The sequence below is a fragment of the Homo sapiens genome, chromosome 10 (genome assembly GCF_000001405.40).
Source record: "Homo sapiens chromosome 10, GRCh38.p14 Primary Assembly".
Taxonomy (NCBI): Eukaryota; Metazoa; Chordata; class Mammalia; order Primates; family Hominidae; genus Homo; species Homo sapiens.
In genome coordinates this window covers 37,435,411-37,454,676 of record NC_000010.11, presented here as the reverse complement: position 1 = coordinate 37,454,676, position 19,266 = coordinate 37,435,411, and the positions used below count along the sequence as shown (strand labels likewise).

At 41.1% G+C, this 19,266-nt stretch overlaps 1 long non-coding RNA gene across 1 annotated transcript; it reads right to left on the bottom strand.

The window, feature by feature from the left end:
- Positions 1 to 15,942: 15,942 nt before the first annotated feature.
- LOC105376497 (uncharacterized) lies at positions 15,943 to 17,104 on the bottom strand. The gene is made up of 2 exons (XR_930827.3): positions 17,013 to 17,104; positions 15,943 to 16,293 (listed from the first exon to the last, which is right to left on the bottom strand). It is a non-coding gene; the product is annotated as an uncharacterized LOC105376497 (long non-coding RNA).
- Positions 17,105 to 19,266: the final 2,162 nt, after the last annotated feature.

The window sequence follows — 19,266 nt, the reverse complement described above, 5'->3', positions numbered from 1 at the left end:
GGATGTCTAAATTCACCTGGAGGGTTTTCTCCTCTAGACAAAGGCCAGGGCAGGAGAGAAATGTCCTCCCACCTCTGGCAGATGCTAAGGCTGGCTGACTTGGCATCCAATCCAGCTTCTTTGTGTGCCTTGCTCTATTACAGAGACCCAAATGTCAAAAACGACATCATTCCTCAGACTCTCCTGCATCTAGAGTCCTGCATATGATTTAGGTTCAACCAATTCAGTGCATGCATGACAGACATAAATGCCGTGCTAGTTACAAGGGGAGATGGGAGGTGGGGAGCATCCACGGTGCTGGCTCAGATCATGGCAGAGGCAGGATGGCTCTGCAGTCAGGAGTTTCCTGGGTTGTGTTTATCCTGTGGCAGAAGCAGCGATGGTCCCCAGTCTCCCAGGATTTACATATATGTTAAGGGTGGGGCATGGTGGCTAGGGTATCAGTCTCAGTTGCAGAAAACAAACATTTCTAACTAGTTTAAGCAGAAAGAAATTTGACATCAGATTGCAAGTGGCTTACAAAAAAATATTTGGGAGGAGTAGAAGAGCAAATCCCAAGCCAAATTCTCAGGACATTTTCCTGAGTCATGAAATCACACATTGTGATAAGTGACATGGGAATTATAGAACAGGACCTAAAGAGAAACAGGAGACAAGAAAAGACCCAAGAGCTCCACATCATATGTGTTAGTTTCTCATGGTTGCTGTAATGAAGTACAACAGACTGGGCAGTTTAAAAAAACAGAAATTTGGCCAGGTGCGGTGGCTTACGCCTGTAATCCCACCACTTTGGGAGGCAGAGGCAAACAAATCATGAGGTCAGGAGATCGACGCCATCCTGCCTAACACGGTGAAACTCCATTTCTACTAAAAATACAAAAAATTAGCTGGGTGTGGTGGCACATGCTTGTAATCCCAGCTACTTGGTAGGCTGAGGCAAGAGAATTGCTTGAACCCCAGAGGCAGAGGTTGCAGTGAGCCGAGGTCACGCCATTGCACTCCCGCCTGGGCGAAAGAGCGAGACTCCATCGCAAACGAACAAACAAACCAGAAATTTATTCTCTCACAGTTCAGGAGGATGGAAGTCTGAAATTGAGGGGTTGGTAGTGTTGGATCCTCCTGGAGGCTCTGGAGAAGAAATCTCCTTGCTTCTGATGGTTGTCGGCAAGCTTTGGTGCTCCTTGGCTTGTGGCAAAATAACTTCCTTCTCTGCTGCTATTGTTGCATGGCACTTTCCCTGTGTGTGTGTCTGTGCCTCTTCTCCTCTTCTTACGAGGACACCAGTCATGCTGGATTAAGGCCCTCCTTACTCTGATATGACTTCATCTTGATTACATCTATAAAGGTAACATTCATAGGTAAACAGGATTTGGACTTCAGGACATGTTTCTGAAGGATACAATTCAACCCACAGCAGTCCTTTTTCCTTCATGAGAAAAAAATGAAGTGCACTCCAGAGTCTTACTGTGGTTATAGCTATGTAGTTTGGTGGTTCCTGAATTAATTGAAAATAGTTTAACTATCACTCAGTGGAATGTGTTCAGCTTCTCAACTAATCTTTTTGTTCCCTTTGAAATAACTCAGAGCTTTCAACAGCCCCATAGTGTGCAAGAACTCCTTGAAACTAGTTAAAAATAAAAAAATATATTATTGAGAGAAAATAAGAAAATCCTAAAATGATCATGGTCTATAGCATGTTGTGAATTATAGGACATGATATTATAAACATATCAATTTTTCCCCTAATGAATCTATAGATTTAATGTAATCCCAGTCAAAATACCAAAAGTTGTTTTTTTAAAAAAAGAAATGGACAGATTCTAAAATTTTCACTGAAGTTCAGAGGCCAAGAAGAGCAAAGGTCACCTTGAAGAAGATGGATCAAACTGGAGAACTTCCAAGCTTTGTCAAGTCCTATTTTAAAGCTATGGTATTGGTAATATATGCTATATATTACTAATGTAATATAAGAATAGAATAGACACAAAAATGACCAAAACAACCAGTGGAATAGAAGACCCACGCAGAGTTTTACATATACAGTCATATAAGAACATCCTCATGACTTTGGAGTAGGCAGAGGTTTCTTAAATAGGAAACACACCCACAAAGCTGAACTTACAAGTGAAAATTGATAAATTCTACCATATTAAAATAAAGAAATTCTGTTTATCAAAAGTCACTATGAAGAGACAAAAAGAGAATTCACAGAATGGGAGAAGGTATTTGCAACACATATATCTGATACATAATTTATATGCAGACAATATCAAGAAGTCCTACTAATTGATAAGAAAAAGACAACCCAATAGAAAAACTGGCAAAAGACTGGAACCAACACTTCACAAAAGAGGATTGCCAAATGCTAGTAAAGAGATTGAAAGTGTTCATCATCACTGTTTACCAGGAAAATGCAAATTAAAGCTATAATGTGGGGCCAGGTGCGGTGTAATCCCAGAACTTTGGGAGGCCTAGGTGGGTGGATTGCGAGGTCAGGAGATCAAGACCGTCCTGGCTAACATGGTGAAACCCCGTCTCTGTTAAAAATACAAAAACAAAAAAATTAGCTGGGCGTGGTGGCGGGTGCCTGTAGTCCCAGCTACTCAGGAGGCTGAGACAGCAGAATGTCGTGAACCCAGGAGGCGGAGCTTGCAGTGAGCTGAGATCGCACCACTGCACTCCAGCCTGGGTGACAGAGCGAGACTCCGTTTCAAAATAAAATAAAAATAAAATAAAATGAAATAATAAAATAATAAAATAAAATAAAATAAAATAAAATAAAATAAAATAAAATAAAATAAAAGCTACAATGTGAAACCACTACACACCTGCCAGAATGGCTAAAACAAAAAAGCAAACTATATCATATCACATATTGGCAAGGATTTGAAGCAAATCCTTGGAACCTGCAAAGTGAAAGTTTCTCCAAGTCTCAAAAGTCTATTCCAAGAACTTCATTTCCATAGGCGTTAGAAACATGAAGAAAACTACACCAAGGCACATTATAATCAAAATGCTCAATATCACTGATAAAGGGAATATTTTGAAGCCAACCAGGAGAGGAAAAACATATATCACATACACAGGGACAAAGATAAGGATAACAAATTTCTTTTTGGAAACAATGTAAAGAAGAACCCAGTAGAGCAGCGTTCTTCTAAAAGTTTAAAGAAAAATTACCAGTGTAAGATTGTATACCCTACAAAACTATCTTTCAAAAATGAAAGCTACTGCTGAAGAGAATGTAAGTTTGAACAATCACTTTGGAAGCCCATTTGATAGTGTCTTCTAAAGCTGAACATATGCCAAAACATCCAGTATGCTAGTAATATTCTATAACTTCAGCTAAGTGTTTGCTTCATGAATATTTTTGAGCTGTATACTTTTCTATGTGCACTCTACTTTATGAATATTACTTTTAAAAAGTCTGATGTATTGCTTAATAGTCCTTTTGAATATTATTAAGCAAAAGTACCTTAGCTTTATGAATCTACCTGGACAATCATTAGAACTTTGGAGCCTGGAGTTAATGTAAGTGTCTTAGCTTGGGTGTTCCCAGAAGCAAACCCTGAGAGAGGGAGATTTAAGAGGTGAACCCAGGAAATACTGATATGAAAATAGGGAAGTGATACAGGGAATGGAAAAAAGCCAATAAAGGATCCACATTCAGTGCAGTTACCACTGAGGGCCAGTGAAGCTGAAGGGTACCCTAGGAGATGCAAGAAAGTTGGTGTTTTTCACCAACTCCCCACCTGTCATGGGCCCAGAGCTGCTCCCAAGCCATTATTAAATCTCCAGCACTTTTTGATTTTCCATGAAAGTAGACTGAGTCTGCTCACCAAACAAAGAGATGTCTTCAGGCAGAGAGAGTCACAGTTGCTCACAGTATACAGTTTGGTGTCTAGAGGAATGCCAAAGGATATAAGTACAGTGCCAGCTCAAATCCACTCTCTTGCACATCAAGTTCACCATGTCCTTCAAGGTAGTGACCACTCACAATTAAAAATATTTTTTAAAAGGCTTGCATTGGGAGTATTAGTGGGACAAGCTACAACTTAATTGCTGCAGTTGGTCTCAAACCTAATGGACACTCATCTTCTCCTCCTGCACCACCTATTGTAGATTCCTGTCACCCTTGGTCAGCATTTCTATTGTTCTAGTTTGCTTGCATGGTGGGTAACCCAGACCTTCGTTTCTAAAGAGATCTGAGTCCTGGGTACCATGCCCTTATTAGACTGTGGTTGTTGCCATTGCCTGTTTTCAGTAATCAGTGGTATGGAAGCACCAGTATGTTCCCAATGAATCACCTGGTTTCCAGACACACACTTCCACTATGGTTTGAATAATGGTTTCACCTCCAAAATTTATGTTGAGACTTAATTCAATTAATTGAGGTGGGCCTTTTGGGAAGGTGGTTAGGTCATACTTCATGAATAGATTATGATTCTTATAGAAAAGCTCTTCCACTCTTCTACCATGTAAAGGACGCATTGTTCATCCCCCTCTTGCCCTTCAGCCTTCTGCCATGTGAGGACACAGCAAGAAGGTTCTCACCAGGCACCAAATGCTGGCAACTTGATCTTGGACTTTCCAGCCTCCAGAACTGTGAGAAATAAATTCCTGTTCTTGATAAATTACCCAGTCTCGAGTATTTTGTTATAGCCATACAAATAGACTAAGACACCTTTCCTACCCCATTATGTAGTAGCTGCCATAACTCCTCATGACAATCTGTGGCAATTACCCCTGCCAGTTCAGTAACCTTTTTGCCTGCTGGACTAGTGTCAGGAGGAGCCCGAAGTGACCAGGAGGTAGTTGGAGCTTTAGATTTAGTGGTATCCTTGTAAGGTATTCTCTGCTAGAAGATCCTCACTAACCCCCTACCGCTACCCCCACCCCCCGAAAAAAAAAACCTGAAGTTAAAAGGACAGGAAGAAAACATTTCCCATTGGATCCCTGGGGTATATGATGAGAGAAGCCAGTTCTACCTACACACACTCCTGGTTGCCAGATCCATGTATTCTCTTTCTCAAGGACACAGCATCATATAATAGCAAATAGCAATTTCAAAATATGGCATTTTGAAAAAGAGTACCTCAAACTCCCAGGGTTTCGTCTCTAAGCTGGCCCCTTAGCTGCCCATTTAAGTTACCATTCAAGCATTCAGGTAGGCAACTTCTGGCAGATTCAGCATAGTAGGACTCGTGGATCCTGGAGTCATCTCCTTTGTGATAAAGTTGGTCTCTTGGTCCAAGATGATGCTATTTTATTCAAGATCCCATGACAATAAGTCAGACACTGAGTGAGCCCTTGGAGAGATTTACTGTCTGAGGCACAGTGGGCAAAAAAGTCAAACTCTTATCTATAATATATATACTCATTGCAGTACAGAAAAATTGATGAGTGTATTTGTAAAAAATATCTATGTCATAAAAGACAAAGAAAGGCTATGGAAATGTTCTATTAATAGGTGGAAGGAGACTTGACAATACCTGATCCCAGAGCAGCTACTATACTGGAAGGAGAACATAAGTTATAAGTAATATTTTGGGATAATTAAGACTGTTGAAATACCAGTGATAGAACAGATAAAGTACTGGGTTAATGTTAAATTTACTGAGGTTAGTTATATGTTTATTCTTAGCACACACACACTAAAGCATTTGAGGATAAACAACCATGATATATGCAACCTTCTCTCAAATGATTCAGGAAAAAATAATATTACAAATATAGAAAAAGAGAGAAAGTGAGACAAAAGCACGTGCAAATGAAATTTCAACAAACAATAGTGAATCTGAGTCAAATATATACAGTTGTTCTCTTTACTTTTCCTTGAATCTATTCTTTAAGTTTGAATTTCCAAATAAAACATTTTTTTTAAGTTCCAATTGAGTTCAGCAAACACATATTCATAGAGAACTTACTATGCACCAAGCCTTGTGGACACAAGTGTGACAAAGACCTGGCCTCTGTCTTTTAAGACCCCTGGTCTAGTGTAGAAGAAGGAACAGCCCCTGAATTAGAACAATTTGTCGCATTCATTTTCTCCAGGACCAAAATTTTTTGTCCCACAGGAATGGATAATTTCCTCTCCCACTTTATGAACTCCTACTCGCTGGCCTAACTGCCTATCGAATGATTCTTTACCACTTTATTATCTGTGTGCAACAAAATCTCCCACATGCCACCATCCCATGTACAGCATGCAGCCTGGGCTCTGCACAAAGGGGCCAAGTATGCAGTGCTGGTTTGAGATCCACAGTCCAGACAGCTTCTGTTGCATGTTTCCCTTCTAGGCTACCTGAAAACCAGAACTGAAAGCCATATGGGACAAGTGATTCAGCCTAGAGTGTCAGGGGCCTCCAGAGGCTGAGCTGCCTACGGGAAAGCTGAGCTGCCCCCAAGAAGGCTGACCACCTCGTTTGGGTCACTGGGCTGGGTTTTTGGCAGAACTTCGCTTGCCCTCAAATTCTAATTGCAAAAGAAATCCTCTGAGCTCCCACTCAGCTCATCTGCATCCATGAGAGGAGCCACCCTTCTGGGCCAGGCTAATTGGATTTGTCTTTATTGCAGTCATTACCAAGGGTTACTGGAAACTAAATAAGTCAACGTGTTCCAACTTGCTATATCCACCTCCAGCTCAGAGCAGGTGTTTTACAAAGCAACCCTCTGAAATTATATGCAATGAATGAATGAATCCTTTCTCTCTGCAACATAGTTGTGGTGGACTAAGGCAGTGAGTGATAGGACCGGACTTGCAACCTGAAATACGCAACTTTCCAAAAAGACTTTGTTTTAAAATGGGATTCACCATAACCATGCTGTTGGCACTGAACTTCCCATTGGGATTTAAGCTGCACTTTACTTTTCAAACAGTATGTTTATTCGCAAGGGAGAGTCTGTCCTATTTTACAGGAGAGGTGGGCCACTGCACCAGCCACCTTGCTTGTAGTCAGTTTTGAAGCCATCTGGATCTCATGAGGTTTCATCAATGCTGGCAGAGACTGAGCTCTATAAGATGTCAACAGTATCTTACTTTTTTTTTTTTCTGAGGAAGTTCACTTTCTGTACCACCTGCATTTGGTACAATACTTTCTGACTGTCCACTAAAATGTCAAACTATTTCAGACTCCTACTCCTCCACTGTCTTAGTTGATTTTGTGCTGCTATTATAGAATACCTGAAACTGGGTAATTTATAGAAAACAGAGATTTATTTCTTATAGTTCTGGAGACTGGTCAAGGGGATGGCATCTGGTGAGAACCTTCTTGCTACATCATCTCATGGAAGAAGGTGGAAGGGCAAGAGGGCACATATGCCCAAGAAAATGTGTGCACACACAAGAGAGGTGGAGAGAGAAAGAGAGAGATAAATAGAGAGACGAAAAGGGGGCCAAGCTCATCCTTTTATTAGGAATCCATTCCCATGATCTCCCATGATAACAGCATTAATCCATTATAAGTGCAGAGCCCTCATAACCTAATCACTTTTTAAAAGTCCCACCTCTCAACACCATTGCATTGAGGATTAAGTTTCCAACACATAAACTTTGGGAAATGCATACAAACCATAGCACTACCTCCCACTCACATCTTGGCTCTTCAATGTCAAGGTATATTGGTTGTTAAGGGAATATAAACACATGAAAACATGTCTCTCCTTTCAATCCAAGACTTACTGGAATTGTGTCAAGCTTCTTGTGGTCAGAAATGAGGACTTCTCTTTATTTTGTCATTCTTATGATCCCATGAGCCCAAATAACAGTGAGATGTTAAGAACCTAGACACCCTCCAGTAAATGCCCACTGATTGCCTTGCTCTCAGAAATGGCTGGTTTCTCTGCAGATCTTCAGCTGGGTCCCACCCAGGTTGGGAGATGCCAGAAGCATGGCTGCAGAAAAGCAATCTCCCTCCACCGTGACTATCACACTGCTGCTGCTGTCACCATTTATATTTCTATCACCACCACCATGGCTGGGGAGCTGCCATGTCAGATGATGTCAGAGTACTTTACAAACATTCCCCATTTACACCTTAGGGTATACATCCACATTCCCAAACATGTTTTAATCTCAGTATGAAAATCTGAAGATTTTCCATCATAGAAATTAAAGCTGATAATTCTTTTAAATCGAAATTTACTTATTAATTTAACATAATAAGAAAACCCTACGTGCGCGCACACACACACACACACACACACACACACACACACACACAGAGGGAGACAGAGAGAGATAATTATTTTAAGGAATTGGCCCATGTGATTGTAGGGGCTGGCAAGTCCTAAATATGCAGGGCAGGTCAGCAGGCCAGATACTAAGGAAAAAGTTAATGTTGCAACTCAAGCCCAAAGGAAAGCAATTTGGAGGCAGAATTCCTTCCTCTTTGAGGGATCTCAGTTTTCTCTCTTAACATCTTCAACGATTGGGTGAGGGCCACTCACACTATAGAAGGTAATCAGCTTTACTCAAAGTCTGCCAATTTAAATGTTAATCACGTTTAAAAAATAACTTCACAGCAACATGTAGACTGATATTTGACAACAACTGGGCACCATTGCCAAGCCAAGTTAACACAGAAAATTAACCATCACAGACAATTTCAATTGATGAATCTGTACAGAGCTTAGATGACTCAGCTCTGTGGCTATGCAGAAAAGTGCATCGACTTTGCTTCCCAAATCTTCTCTCATTGTTTTAATTATTTAATGTTTGGGTCTCCATAGAGGACAAGTGTGATTCCTATGACTTGATGGGCATCAGTAGGGCTGGAGGGTGCTGCAGAGCAATGCAGGAAGCATTTGGGGTTGAGGCCTTGAATCAATTGAAGAGGAAGGACTGATGAGATCTGAGACAAATGGATGCATAAAACTAGGACTCAGGAATACAGCAGCAGCCTCTGCTGCCACTTAGGGACACCAGGTGGGGAGCTGGAAGCTCTTCATCTTGAGGCAATGCCTCATACAAGGAGTTGAATTCCTGCAGATGGGGAAGGAGTAACAAGTAGGTTACCACACTCAATGGAAGGGTAACTCTGTCCCAAACCCTATAAGCAGGGAGCCAGAGCCACATCTATATGAAAAGATCTACTTGGCATGACAGGCCAATGAAAATCATTGTCATGTCTGAAATATGTCCACAACACAGTTGTGAACAAATTCCAGTTCACCCTCCAGCTGTATGAATAAAGTATAGACTTTAATCTCAAGTTGAAATATAAGATATGGCAATCAAAGGAAGGAACTCTTACAAGTTCATGGTGCTAGATACCTTCTACTTTCCCTTCTAGCCCTATACCTAACTCCTTCATAATTCTGGCTGACTTGTATCAATCAGTAACATCAGAGAACAGCTCAAAGACATTAGCCCCTGCTCCCTGGCTTCCAGCAGGAGATGCAGCCAGAGACCAGAGGGAGGGAGACAGGTTGCTGTCTTAGTCCATTTTGTGTTGCTCTAATGGAATATCTGAGGCTGGCTAATTTATAAGGAAAAGAGGTTTATTTGGCTCACAGTTCTGCAGAATGTGCAAGAAGCAAGGTACCAACATCTGCTTGGCTTCTGGTGAGGGCTTCTGCTTCAACTCATGGTAGAAGGTGAAAGGGAAACAGTGTGTGCAGAGATCATATGGTAAGAGAGGAAGCAAGAAAGAGAGGGGAGATGTTGGGTTCTTTTTAACAACCAACTTTCATGAGAACTAATAGAGAACTCACTCACCTTGAAGGAGGGCATTAACCTACTCATGAGGGATCTGCTCACATGACCCAAACACTTCCCATTAGGCCCCACCTCCAAATTTCAACATGAGATTTAGTGGGGACAAACAAACCATGTCTAAGTTATAGCAGATAGAGAATACAATCCCCAGAGTTCCACCCTGCAACGTGGCCACGGGCTGACTGACAACATCCCACAACCAAGGTTCTGCAGGTGACCTTCTGCACAAAGCCATCTTTTTCTTTACAGGCCCAGGGTTGCAAGGTGGCCCATTGTTGCTTGTCCTGGGAAACTGCCTGTGTGCCAGTCAACAAGAATGGAGAAAGGTGGTGAGCAGAAGGCATATAGCACTAGAAACCTACAAGGGTTCCCTACACACTGTCCATGCTTTTTCAATGCTTTCTCTGTCTTATCATGATGTTGACTGACACAGGACCACTCCATTCAGAGGACCACTCTGAACCTGAGACTTGGGCTGCATCCACTTAGACCTCAGTTATACACAGATGGCAATGATACAGCTGAGTTCATAAGCTAGGTCAGTACACCATGGGCTAAAGCCAGAGTGAGCCTCTGCTATGTCACATCTGTGTGACCTGAGAAACCTCTGAGCCTCAGTTTCTTCATGTGTAAACTGAGAATATTAACCTTATGTCCTAAAGAGAGTTGTGAGAATTAAATAATTTAATACATTTAAATCAAAGAAAAAATGCCTAGTATAGAAGGCACTGTTTGTAATTTTTTTTTTGAGATGAAGTCTTGCTCTATCAACCAGGCTGAAGTGCAGTGGTATGATCTTGGCTCACTGCAGCCTCCACATCCTGGGTTCAAGTGATTCTCCTGCCTCAGCCTCCCAAGTAGCTAATATTACAGGCACACACAACTAGACCAGACTAATTTTTGTATTTTTAGTAGAGATGGGGTTTTGCCGTGTTAGCCAGGCTGGTCTCAAACTCCTGACCTCAGGTGATCCACCCACCTTGACTGTTTATGAATTTAAGTCAGTGGTTCTCTGAGTGTGTTCACAGACTCCTGAGGGCTCCAGAGCCCCTTCAGGGACTTCATGAGGCCAAACTGTTTTATAATAACAAAAATAATTATTTGCTTCTTTCTCATTTTGTTGACATTTGCATTGGTGGTGCAAAAATAAAGGTGGGTAGAATGGTGACACCATCACAAAAATCAAGGCAGCAGCACATGCTTTACTACAGGTGGTCATTCATTGTAGTCTTTGCTGCCACATGGTTGCAGTAAATAAAGAAGAAGAGGAAGAAGAAGGAGAAGGAGGAGGAGGAGGAGGAGGAGGAGTCAATGTCACCTAAGAACTTAAGAATTTCCTTGATACAATGAAATAAATTCATTAATTACTAAATCTCAATGTGAGCGCAATTTCTAATATTCAGTGTGTCTAAACAGGAAGCATGCATAAAACACTTTTGCTGCCTACCAAGGAAGGTCGAGTACTTGTGCAGTCATTCAAAGTGTGAGCAAAACTAGCTACTTTTTTCATGAAATACATTTTTACTTGAAAGAACTATTGACAGAAAACTACAGCTACTCAGAGTTGAGTATTTGTCAGGCATTCTCTCTAAAATGAATTATATGACCCTGTCATTTCAAGGAAAATGACTGACAGAACTTGCTGCCAATGATGTAAAATTTTTGTAGATTTCAAATGAAAATTAGAATGTTGCAAAGCTTGTATCTGCCACCATCAGCTTGATAGCTTCTGAATACTTAGAGACTTTTCTAATACAAAGGAGGGATGATATTAACAAATGTGACTTTTTTTGAGACAGGGTCTCACTCTCTTGCCTAGGCTGGAGTGCAGTGGTGCACTCATGGCTCACTGCAGCATCACCAAACCACCTGGGTTCAGCAGATCCTCCCACCTCAGCCTTCTGAGTTTCTGTGACCACAGGCATGCACCACCACACCCAACTAATATTTTAATTTTAATTTTGCAAAGATGGGCTCTTGCTTGTTGCTCAGGCTAGTCTCAAACTCCTGGGCTCAAGTGATCCTCCCACCTTGGCCTCGCAAAGTGCTGAGATTATAGGGGTGAGCCACCACCCGGCCTAAATGTGATCTTTTGCTGCTGTTTAATGAAATGTGTCAGGGTTAGGAAGATCTGCACAACTCAGTGAACAAATATTTTCCAAATGGCCAATGCATGGTGTTACAAAATCACACACAGGTAAAATCACACACTGCATGATGGGCCAGTGGATTATAACACAGCAGAATATGAAGGTGTATTGATAAACTTTCAGATTCCACATTGTAACCAACATTTAAGAAATCGCTTCTTGCCAAATTCTATACTATAGATACTATCAAAGAATATTCACAACAATTTGGAAAGTACTGTTAAACTATGTCTCCCCTTTCTAACCACATATCTTTGTGAGGTCAGATTTCCTTCAGCTCCTACAGACAAAACAACATATTGCAACAGATTAAATGCAGAAGTGAATAAAACAAGCCAGCTGTCTTCTATTAAGATTTTCAAAAACAATACCAGCCTTCTTGCTAATTTTTTTTTCCAAAAATGGAGTTATTTTTCATAAAACTGTGTTACTTACTTCAACTTCAAATCCAGTAAATACCAATAAAAATTACCCACATACACACAAAAAAATCTTTGATGTGTTCAGTAATTTTTAACAGTGTAAAGGGATCCTGGATCCATGAAGTTTGAGAACTGCAAATCCAATTTCTCATTATTATATAACTGAAGAAGAACTGGATGATGGCCCCCACCAAAGTAGCATTCCCTCTCTGCCATCCTGTTTGCTAATATTGGCCTCTCAACTTGCTATCCCTGTTTCTCTTTATCCATCCAGACTCTGCCCATTCTTCCAGGCAAATCTGAAGTGTTACCATATCCAAGAAGCCCTTCCTGGGGCTATAAGACACGCAGTCCTCACCGCCCATAACTTTCACTGCCTCATACTGTGTTCTCTAGTTGCCTAATGTTGCAGGTCTTGTCACACCAAGCTGTTTGTAAAGTCTTTGAGAGTGGGAACTCTGCAAAGCTCTTCTGTGTCTTCCTATGCCCAGCTCATTAGATACGTATCTGCATAGTTAGGTTTAAATATGACCTTCCAACTTGAATGTGAGCATTATAACACATTGTAACAGACTTTTGCCACAGAGCTTCCCCCTTAGAAATCCATCTTCTCTCAAGGCCCTACCTTTTGAGCTTTGTATAAAAGGAGAATCATCTGGCTGGGTGCAGTGGCTCACTCCTGTAATCCCAGCACTTTGAGATGCCGAGGTGGGCGGATCACGAGGTCAGGAGATAGAGAGGATCCTGGCTAACACGGTGAAACCCCCGTCTCTATTAAAAATACAAAACATTAGCCAGGCCTGGTGGCAGGCGCCTGTAGTCCCAGCTACCTGGGAGGCTGAGGCAGTAGAATGGCATGAACCCGGGATGCGGAGCCTGCAGTGAGCCAAGATTGCACCACTGCACTCCAGCTTGGGCAACAGAAGGAAACTTGGTCTCAAAAAATAAATAAATAAATAAATAAATAAATAAATAAATAAATAAAATAAAAATAAAAATAAAGCAGAATAATCTATACACAATTTTCCATTACCTGCTAAAAGGACTTTTCTTAAGGTGAGATGATGCCTCACTCAATACATGCTAACTGGGGCTAGGGGTGAGGCACATCTCATCCTGGTTCATTATTAAACACTTCTCACTGAGCTCCCCCAGAATCTTGTGGCCCACTGAGTTTTCCGTGAAAGAGCTATGTCAGAGTGAGCACCTTGAGAAGCTGGGTGAGGCATGAGAATAACTATGGAAATGTTTATAGGTTAAAAAAAAGTTTAAAACCACAAATGTGATATCATATTAGAATGGTGTGATTATGGATGAGTTTTTTCTGTTTCACAAATTTCTGTCATATTATTTGTATTAATTTTTATAATTCCATTACATATTTAAAATCTAGTTGTGTATTTCTCTTTTTGTAGAGATGGGGCCTTGCTATGTTGCCCAGGCTGGGAACTTCTGGTCTCAAGTGATCCTCCTGCTTCAGCCTCCCAAAGTGTTGGGATTGCAGGTGTGAGCCACCACACCCAACCATAGTTGTACATTTCTGAAAGGGACTTGTACCAGTGGAATTTCTGATTCCATGTATCAAAAACCAATTATGGCTTACTTGGTGGGAATAGATACAGAATGGTTAATTTTACGTGTCAACTTGACTGGATCATGGGGTGTCCAGGTTTTGGGATAAACATTATTTCTGGGTGTGTCTGTGAGGGTGTTTCTGGATAAGATTAGCATTTGAATTAGTAGACAAATTGCCTTTGCCAATGTGGGAAGGAGGCCTTCAATCCATTGAAGGCCTGAATAGAACAAAAAGGCAGAAGTTAGAATTTCTTCTCTTTTCCTGACTTCTTGAACTGGAATATCAGTCTCCTGCCCCTACACTAGAACTTACACCATCATCCCTCTGGTTCTCAGAATTCCACCACTGGCTTGCCTGCAAGTGGCTTTTCTCCAGCTTGCAAGTGGCAGATGGTGGAATTTCTAAGCCTCCAAAATCACTTGAGCCAATTCCTTATACTAAATAACGTGTGTGTGTTGTTGTTGTTGTTGTTGTTGTTGTTGTTGTCCATTTGTTCATTCTGTTTCTCTGGAGAACGCTAATAGAATGTATTATGAAATATTGGGTAGTGGGAGCTCACAAAACCTCTGGGAAGCCTGGATAATAGTCAGCATATTGGCAGAAAACAGAGAAAGCCTGGCAGCTCAGAACCTAGTCAAGTCTGCACCAGACAGTCTGGCCAGGGTGCCAATGTTGGTGCTGCATCCCCTGGATACTCACAGTGCTAGAAATTTCCACAGATGACCTCACAGTGTTGGACAGGAGCATCTGATTGGCCAAGTCCAGGTTACTCAAGCAGCAAAGAACAGGGAGAGAGGATATTTGTTCCTTCCTTTTGTTTCGTTTGGGGATCTCACCATCCCTCCCACAAAGGCCTGCATAACAAACGGCAGTCTCCAAGTAAGAGAGTATTCAAATGCTAGAAAACCAAAAGCTAGCTAATTCCACCATAGCACTGTACAAAACCACAGCATTGAACAGGGTCATGCATAAAAATCACAGAAAATTCATTGCAATGAGTTAAATGAATAATATTCTCCTTTCACAGAAAAAGAAAATCATGACTTTTGAAGATAATGTTGAAAAGGCTCGGTTCATCTAGACCACAGCCCGTGGCAGTAGATAGTTCAACTGACTATCATCACTCCATTTAATTGTTCTGAGCCCTGCCCATTCTTCAAGGGCAATCTTAAATCCCTATGCTTCTATAAAGTGACATAAATCCTTTTCTGCTAAAACAATCATCTACCCATGGACTAAGATACAAGTATTTGCAAACATTCTAGAATCTACATGAAAGCAAATGTTAAGATGAGAAGGGCCATCCTGATGCCAATTACATCTTTTGAGAAAGTAGCACCCCAGAAGCTGGCGTTAAGCAGTTAGCAGACAACAGGAGCATGTTTCAACCATTCACAGTCTACCTGGAAATACAATATAGTGGCATTCCATAGTCACCTGTAAAATGTAGACTGCAGTTAGAGTCCCACCTTCTCTATTTCCTGGTCATGTAATCTTGGGTAAAGTTACTTAACTCTCCAATCTGAAATTGCTTCAACTGCAAAATAGTAGTAATAATAATAATGATAGCACTTACCCCTTAGGGTTGTTGCTAAAATGAAGTGAAATAATACACATAAAATAATTCAAAAATGTGTTATCACCATCACTCAGATTAATGTTAACTAGGATTATTATACTTTGACCTCAATTCAGATTTTAAGCTTAATTCTTGGCTAAAGTAGTAATCATCCCTTTCAATATTTCTGGTTTAAGTACAAGTAGCAGGCAATGGAAATTTACCCAACAGTCTAGGCATGGTAGCTCATGCCTGTAAAGCCAGCACTTTGGGAGGCCGAAAGTGGGAGGATTGCTTGAGCCCAGGAGTTCAAGACCAGCCTAAGAAATATAGCAGGAGCCCACCCCACCTCTACCAATATATATATATATATATATATTAATTAAAACCAAATGCTTACATCAAATTTACCCAACTGACATTTAAGTAGCTACTAAGACTAGAAGATAACTTAGCTATTTTAGTCATTTTCATTGTTTGCCCCAACTTTTAAATGGTTCGGATAAAATTCAATCCTGTTAAATGGTTACATCAAGCATTTATATTGCAGAGCTGAAACACAAGGACAAACATGTGATCCCTTCATACTCAGGCAAGCAGGAAACATTTCAACTCTGCTAAGGAAAAGGAAGAGGAAATGAATCTTCACACTGGGGAGGGAAAGCAAGGACCAATTGCAAATAACGCACGCAGTTGTGAGCACCTCCAAGGTATTCTGAGATGTTATTCACTGCTGAGAGAGAAAATCTGGTTGACATATTATTTTCTGAGCTGGTTATTAATGCATTGACCAAGGAAGAAGCAGGAGCAGTCTTCAATCCCATCCTCCAATTCAAAGTCAGTGTCTTGCCACCATCTCTCCTTGCTGGCTGGGAGTAGAAGAGAAAAATTAAGATTCTGAGAAAGCTGTTAGGAACAGTTGAGCAGAAAAGGAATCTGATCTTTTCACTCCTTGCATGAGTAAACAAAGCTTATGCTTTCAGTGGGAGCATCTGAAGGAAAATTCACATTCACTGTGGACTGGAAGAAATGCCTTCTGTTCAGCCACCAATCAATCAGCCCAAATGAAGGAGGCAGTTAATGTTTTTCACCAAACTGAAAGCCTCTGGCTTTGGACTAATATCAGAGCTAAAGAAATTAATCAGGCTCTTGCTGATGACTAAGCTTCAAAATGTAATCTACATCCATAGCTCTAACTCTACAGTTCACCAGTTAATGGGGAAAACAGACCAATGCATGATTTGGCTCAAACCTCACCCGAAGCTGCGAGGTCATACTGCTACCACAGTCAAGAGCATAAATGGTTCCACATAACATAGCAAAGTGGCCAAAATCCATCTCTCCCATGAGAAAAGAGAGAGTACGGGGGATTAAAAGGCACCTTGTGAGATTGGAGACTGAAGGATTTACTGATAACAAGAGGTGTTCAAAATTAGAACAAGTCAACTCAAAGCTGACTTCAGTGCCTTTGTTTCTTCTCTTCAGGAAGTTTTTTAAAATCATACTGGTTTGGAGCACAGCTCTCCGACTATGGCTCCTGACAAGCAATACACTCAAGTCACTCTGTTAAGCGTAAAATGGGACTCACAGATTTAATAAAGAGTCAGTTTCCTGCCAGGTGCTGTGGCTCACACCTGTGATCCCAACATTTTGGGATGCTGAGGTGGCACGGGATCGCTTGAGGACAGGAGTTTGAGACCATCCTGGGCAACATAACAAGACCTCTATAAAAATGAAAACATTAGCAGGGCATGGTGGCTCACAACTGTAGTCCCAGCTACTCGGGAGGCTGAGGTGTGAGGATCACTTGAGCCCAGGGGTTTGAGGCTGCAGTGACCTGTGATAGCATCATGGCACTCCAGACTTGAGTGACAGAATGAGACTCTGTCTCCAAAATATATTTTAAAACTTTAATTTTTTAAAAAGAGTGAAACTCTTTCAGGCCAAGCACAAAGCCTATCCCACATGTCTGTTTATGCTTATAGCCAAATGTTTAATGCAGCATCTGTGGAATAAATCCACAGGACCAGATATTTGAAGATATAATCCAACCAACATTTATGAAGCAGCAATTACTGCAGAATATTCCTGCAAAGTATCCTGCTAAGTGCTATAGGGGTCACTGATGAATACGTGTCTAGTTTATGCCTTTGCACACCTTTAAAATCTTACTGGGGAGGCAAGTATGCAAACAACTACACTGAAAAGCAAAATTGTTGGTTGCAATGGCTCACACCTGTAACCCCATCACTTTGGCAGGCCGAGGTGGAGGGACGGCTTGAGCCCAGGAGTTCGAGACCAGCATGGGAAACATAATGAGACCCTGTCTCTACAAAATAATAATAATAATGAGAAGAAGAAAATTAGCCGGACATGATGGCATGTGCCTATATTCCTAGCTACTTAGAAGGCTGAGCTGGGAGGATTTGCTTGAGCCCAGGAGGTTGAGACTGAAGTGAGCTGCCATTGTGCCACCACACTGTATGTAGCCTGGGTGACAGAGTGAGACCCTGAAAAAAAAAAAAAAAAGCAAAATTGAGAAAGGCATGGAATTGGAGGAACAAGTAAAAGCTATGGGACATAATTGGAATGATTCTCCTTTGCCCTTCACCACAGCCCTGTCACCTGCTAATGAGAGTTGCCAAATGACCCATGGTTGAATCATTGCCACCTTCTTATTATAATTCTGCACGTCACCTTCCTATAGAGCCCTTAGTCAGCACTTTCACTTCAGTCACTGTGATTGCAAAGTTCTGACTGTAGAGCAATTGCAGAAAGTCATTTTTTCATCCTGACCAGTGTGGTTTGGAAAGTTGCTATCTTCAGAGAGACTGGAGGCTCATAAAGCAGTACAAATTTCCTCTTCAATGTCTTTGCAAAAATACCTAATGCGTATTCAGTAGTATTTTGCAAACCAACATATATGAAAAATTCTAATTAGCATATCATGGGATCATATACCTCATCTTCTTTTCTCCCCTCTGAACTCTTCCTGGTTGTAATTAAAGGTATGTATAGCTGTGGCTATATATGCCTTATTCATGTTCCAAGAATAGCCTTTCCCTCTTTCTGTCAGAACCATTAGAAAAAGAAAAATCTTAACATTAACATAGATGAATGACACCAGGATCTTATTTGCGCTCATAATTAAAATCCAGTTTAATCCACAGCATAAAATTAATCTAATCTAGCAGGCCTCAGTAAGAAGCTACTATAGTAAATGCTCTTCATTTACCTGACAATAATGTCTAATAGAGCTCTTCCCCCAACCACATTTCCCAGATTCAAAAGACCCATAAAAATATTAGAATCATAAAGAGCCTTAGAAATCTTCATTTTATAATCCAAAATAAAATAAAGTAACCAGGCACTGTGCTAGAAAATGCATCACATTTAACCTACCTGCACCTTAAGAAATGCATCATAGTCTGTTTCCTGCAAACAAATTCCAAAGGGTGGAGCCTGGATTTAAATTAAACCCAGGTGTCTCTGGTCCATATAGTTGTCGAGCTGGTTCCTGTCCCATGCTGACTCTCCCAGGCTCCACAGAGGTTCATGAACCTTATGTGGTGGTTGCAGTGGCTCACACCTATAATCCCAGCCCTTTGGGAGGCTGAGATGGGGGGATGGCTTGAGCCTGGAAGCAGGGATACCCCAGTCCTCCTGGTTATTTTATTGGCCCAGGGCTCTTACAATTGCCCAGGTTAAGTACTAGAGAGGCACTAGCCTAGATAACAGGAGCCTTGCCTGAGTCAGATGCTGTAAAAGCTTGATCAACAGCTGCCTCTGTTTTCTTATATTTCCCTCCTTTTAAATTAATTATTCTAACATTATCTTCCTGA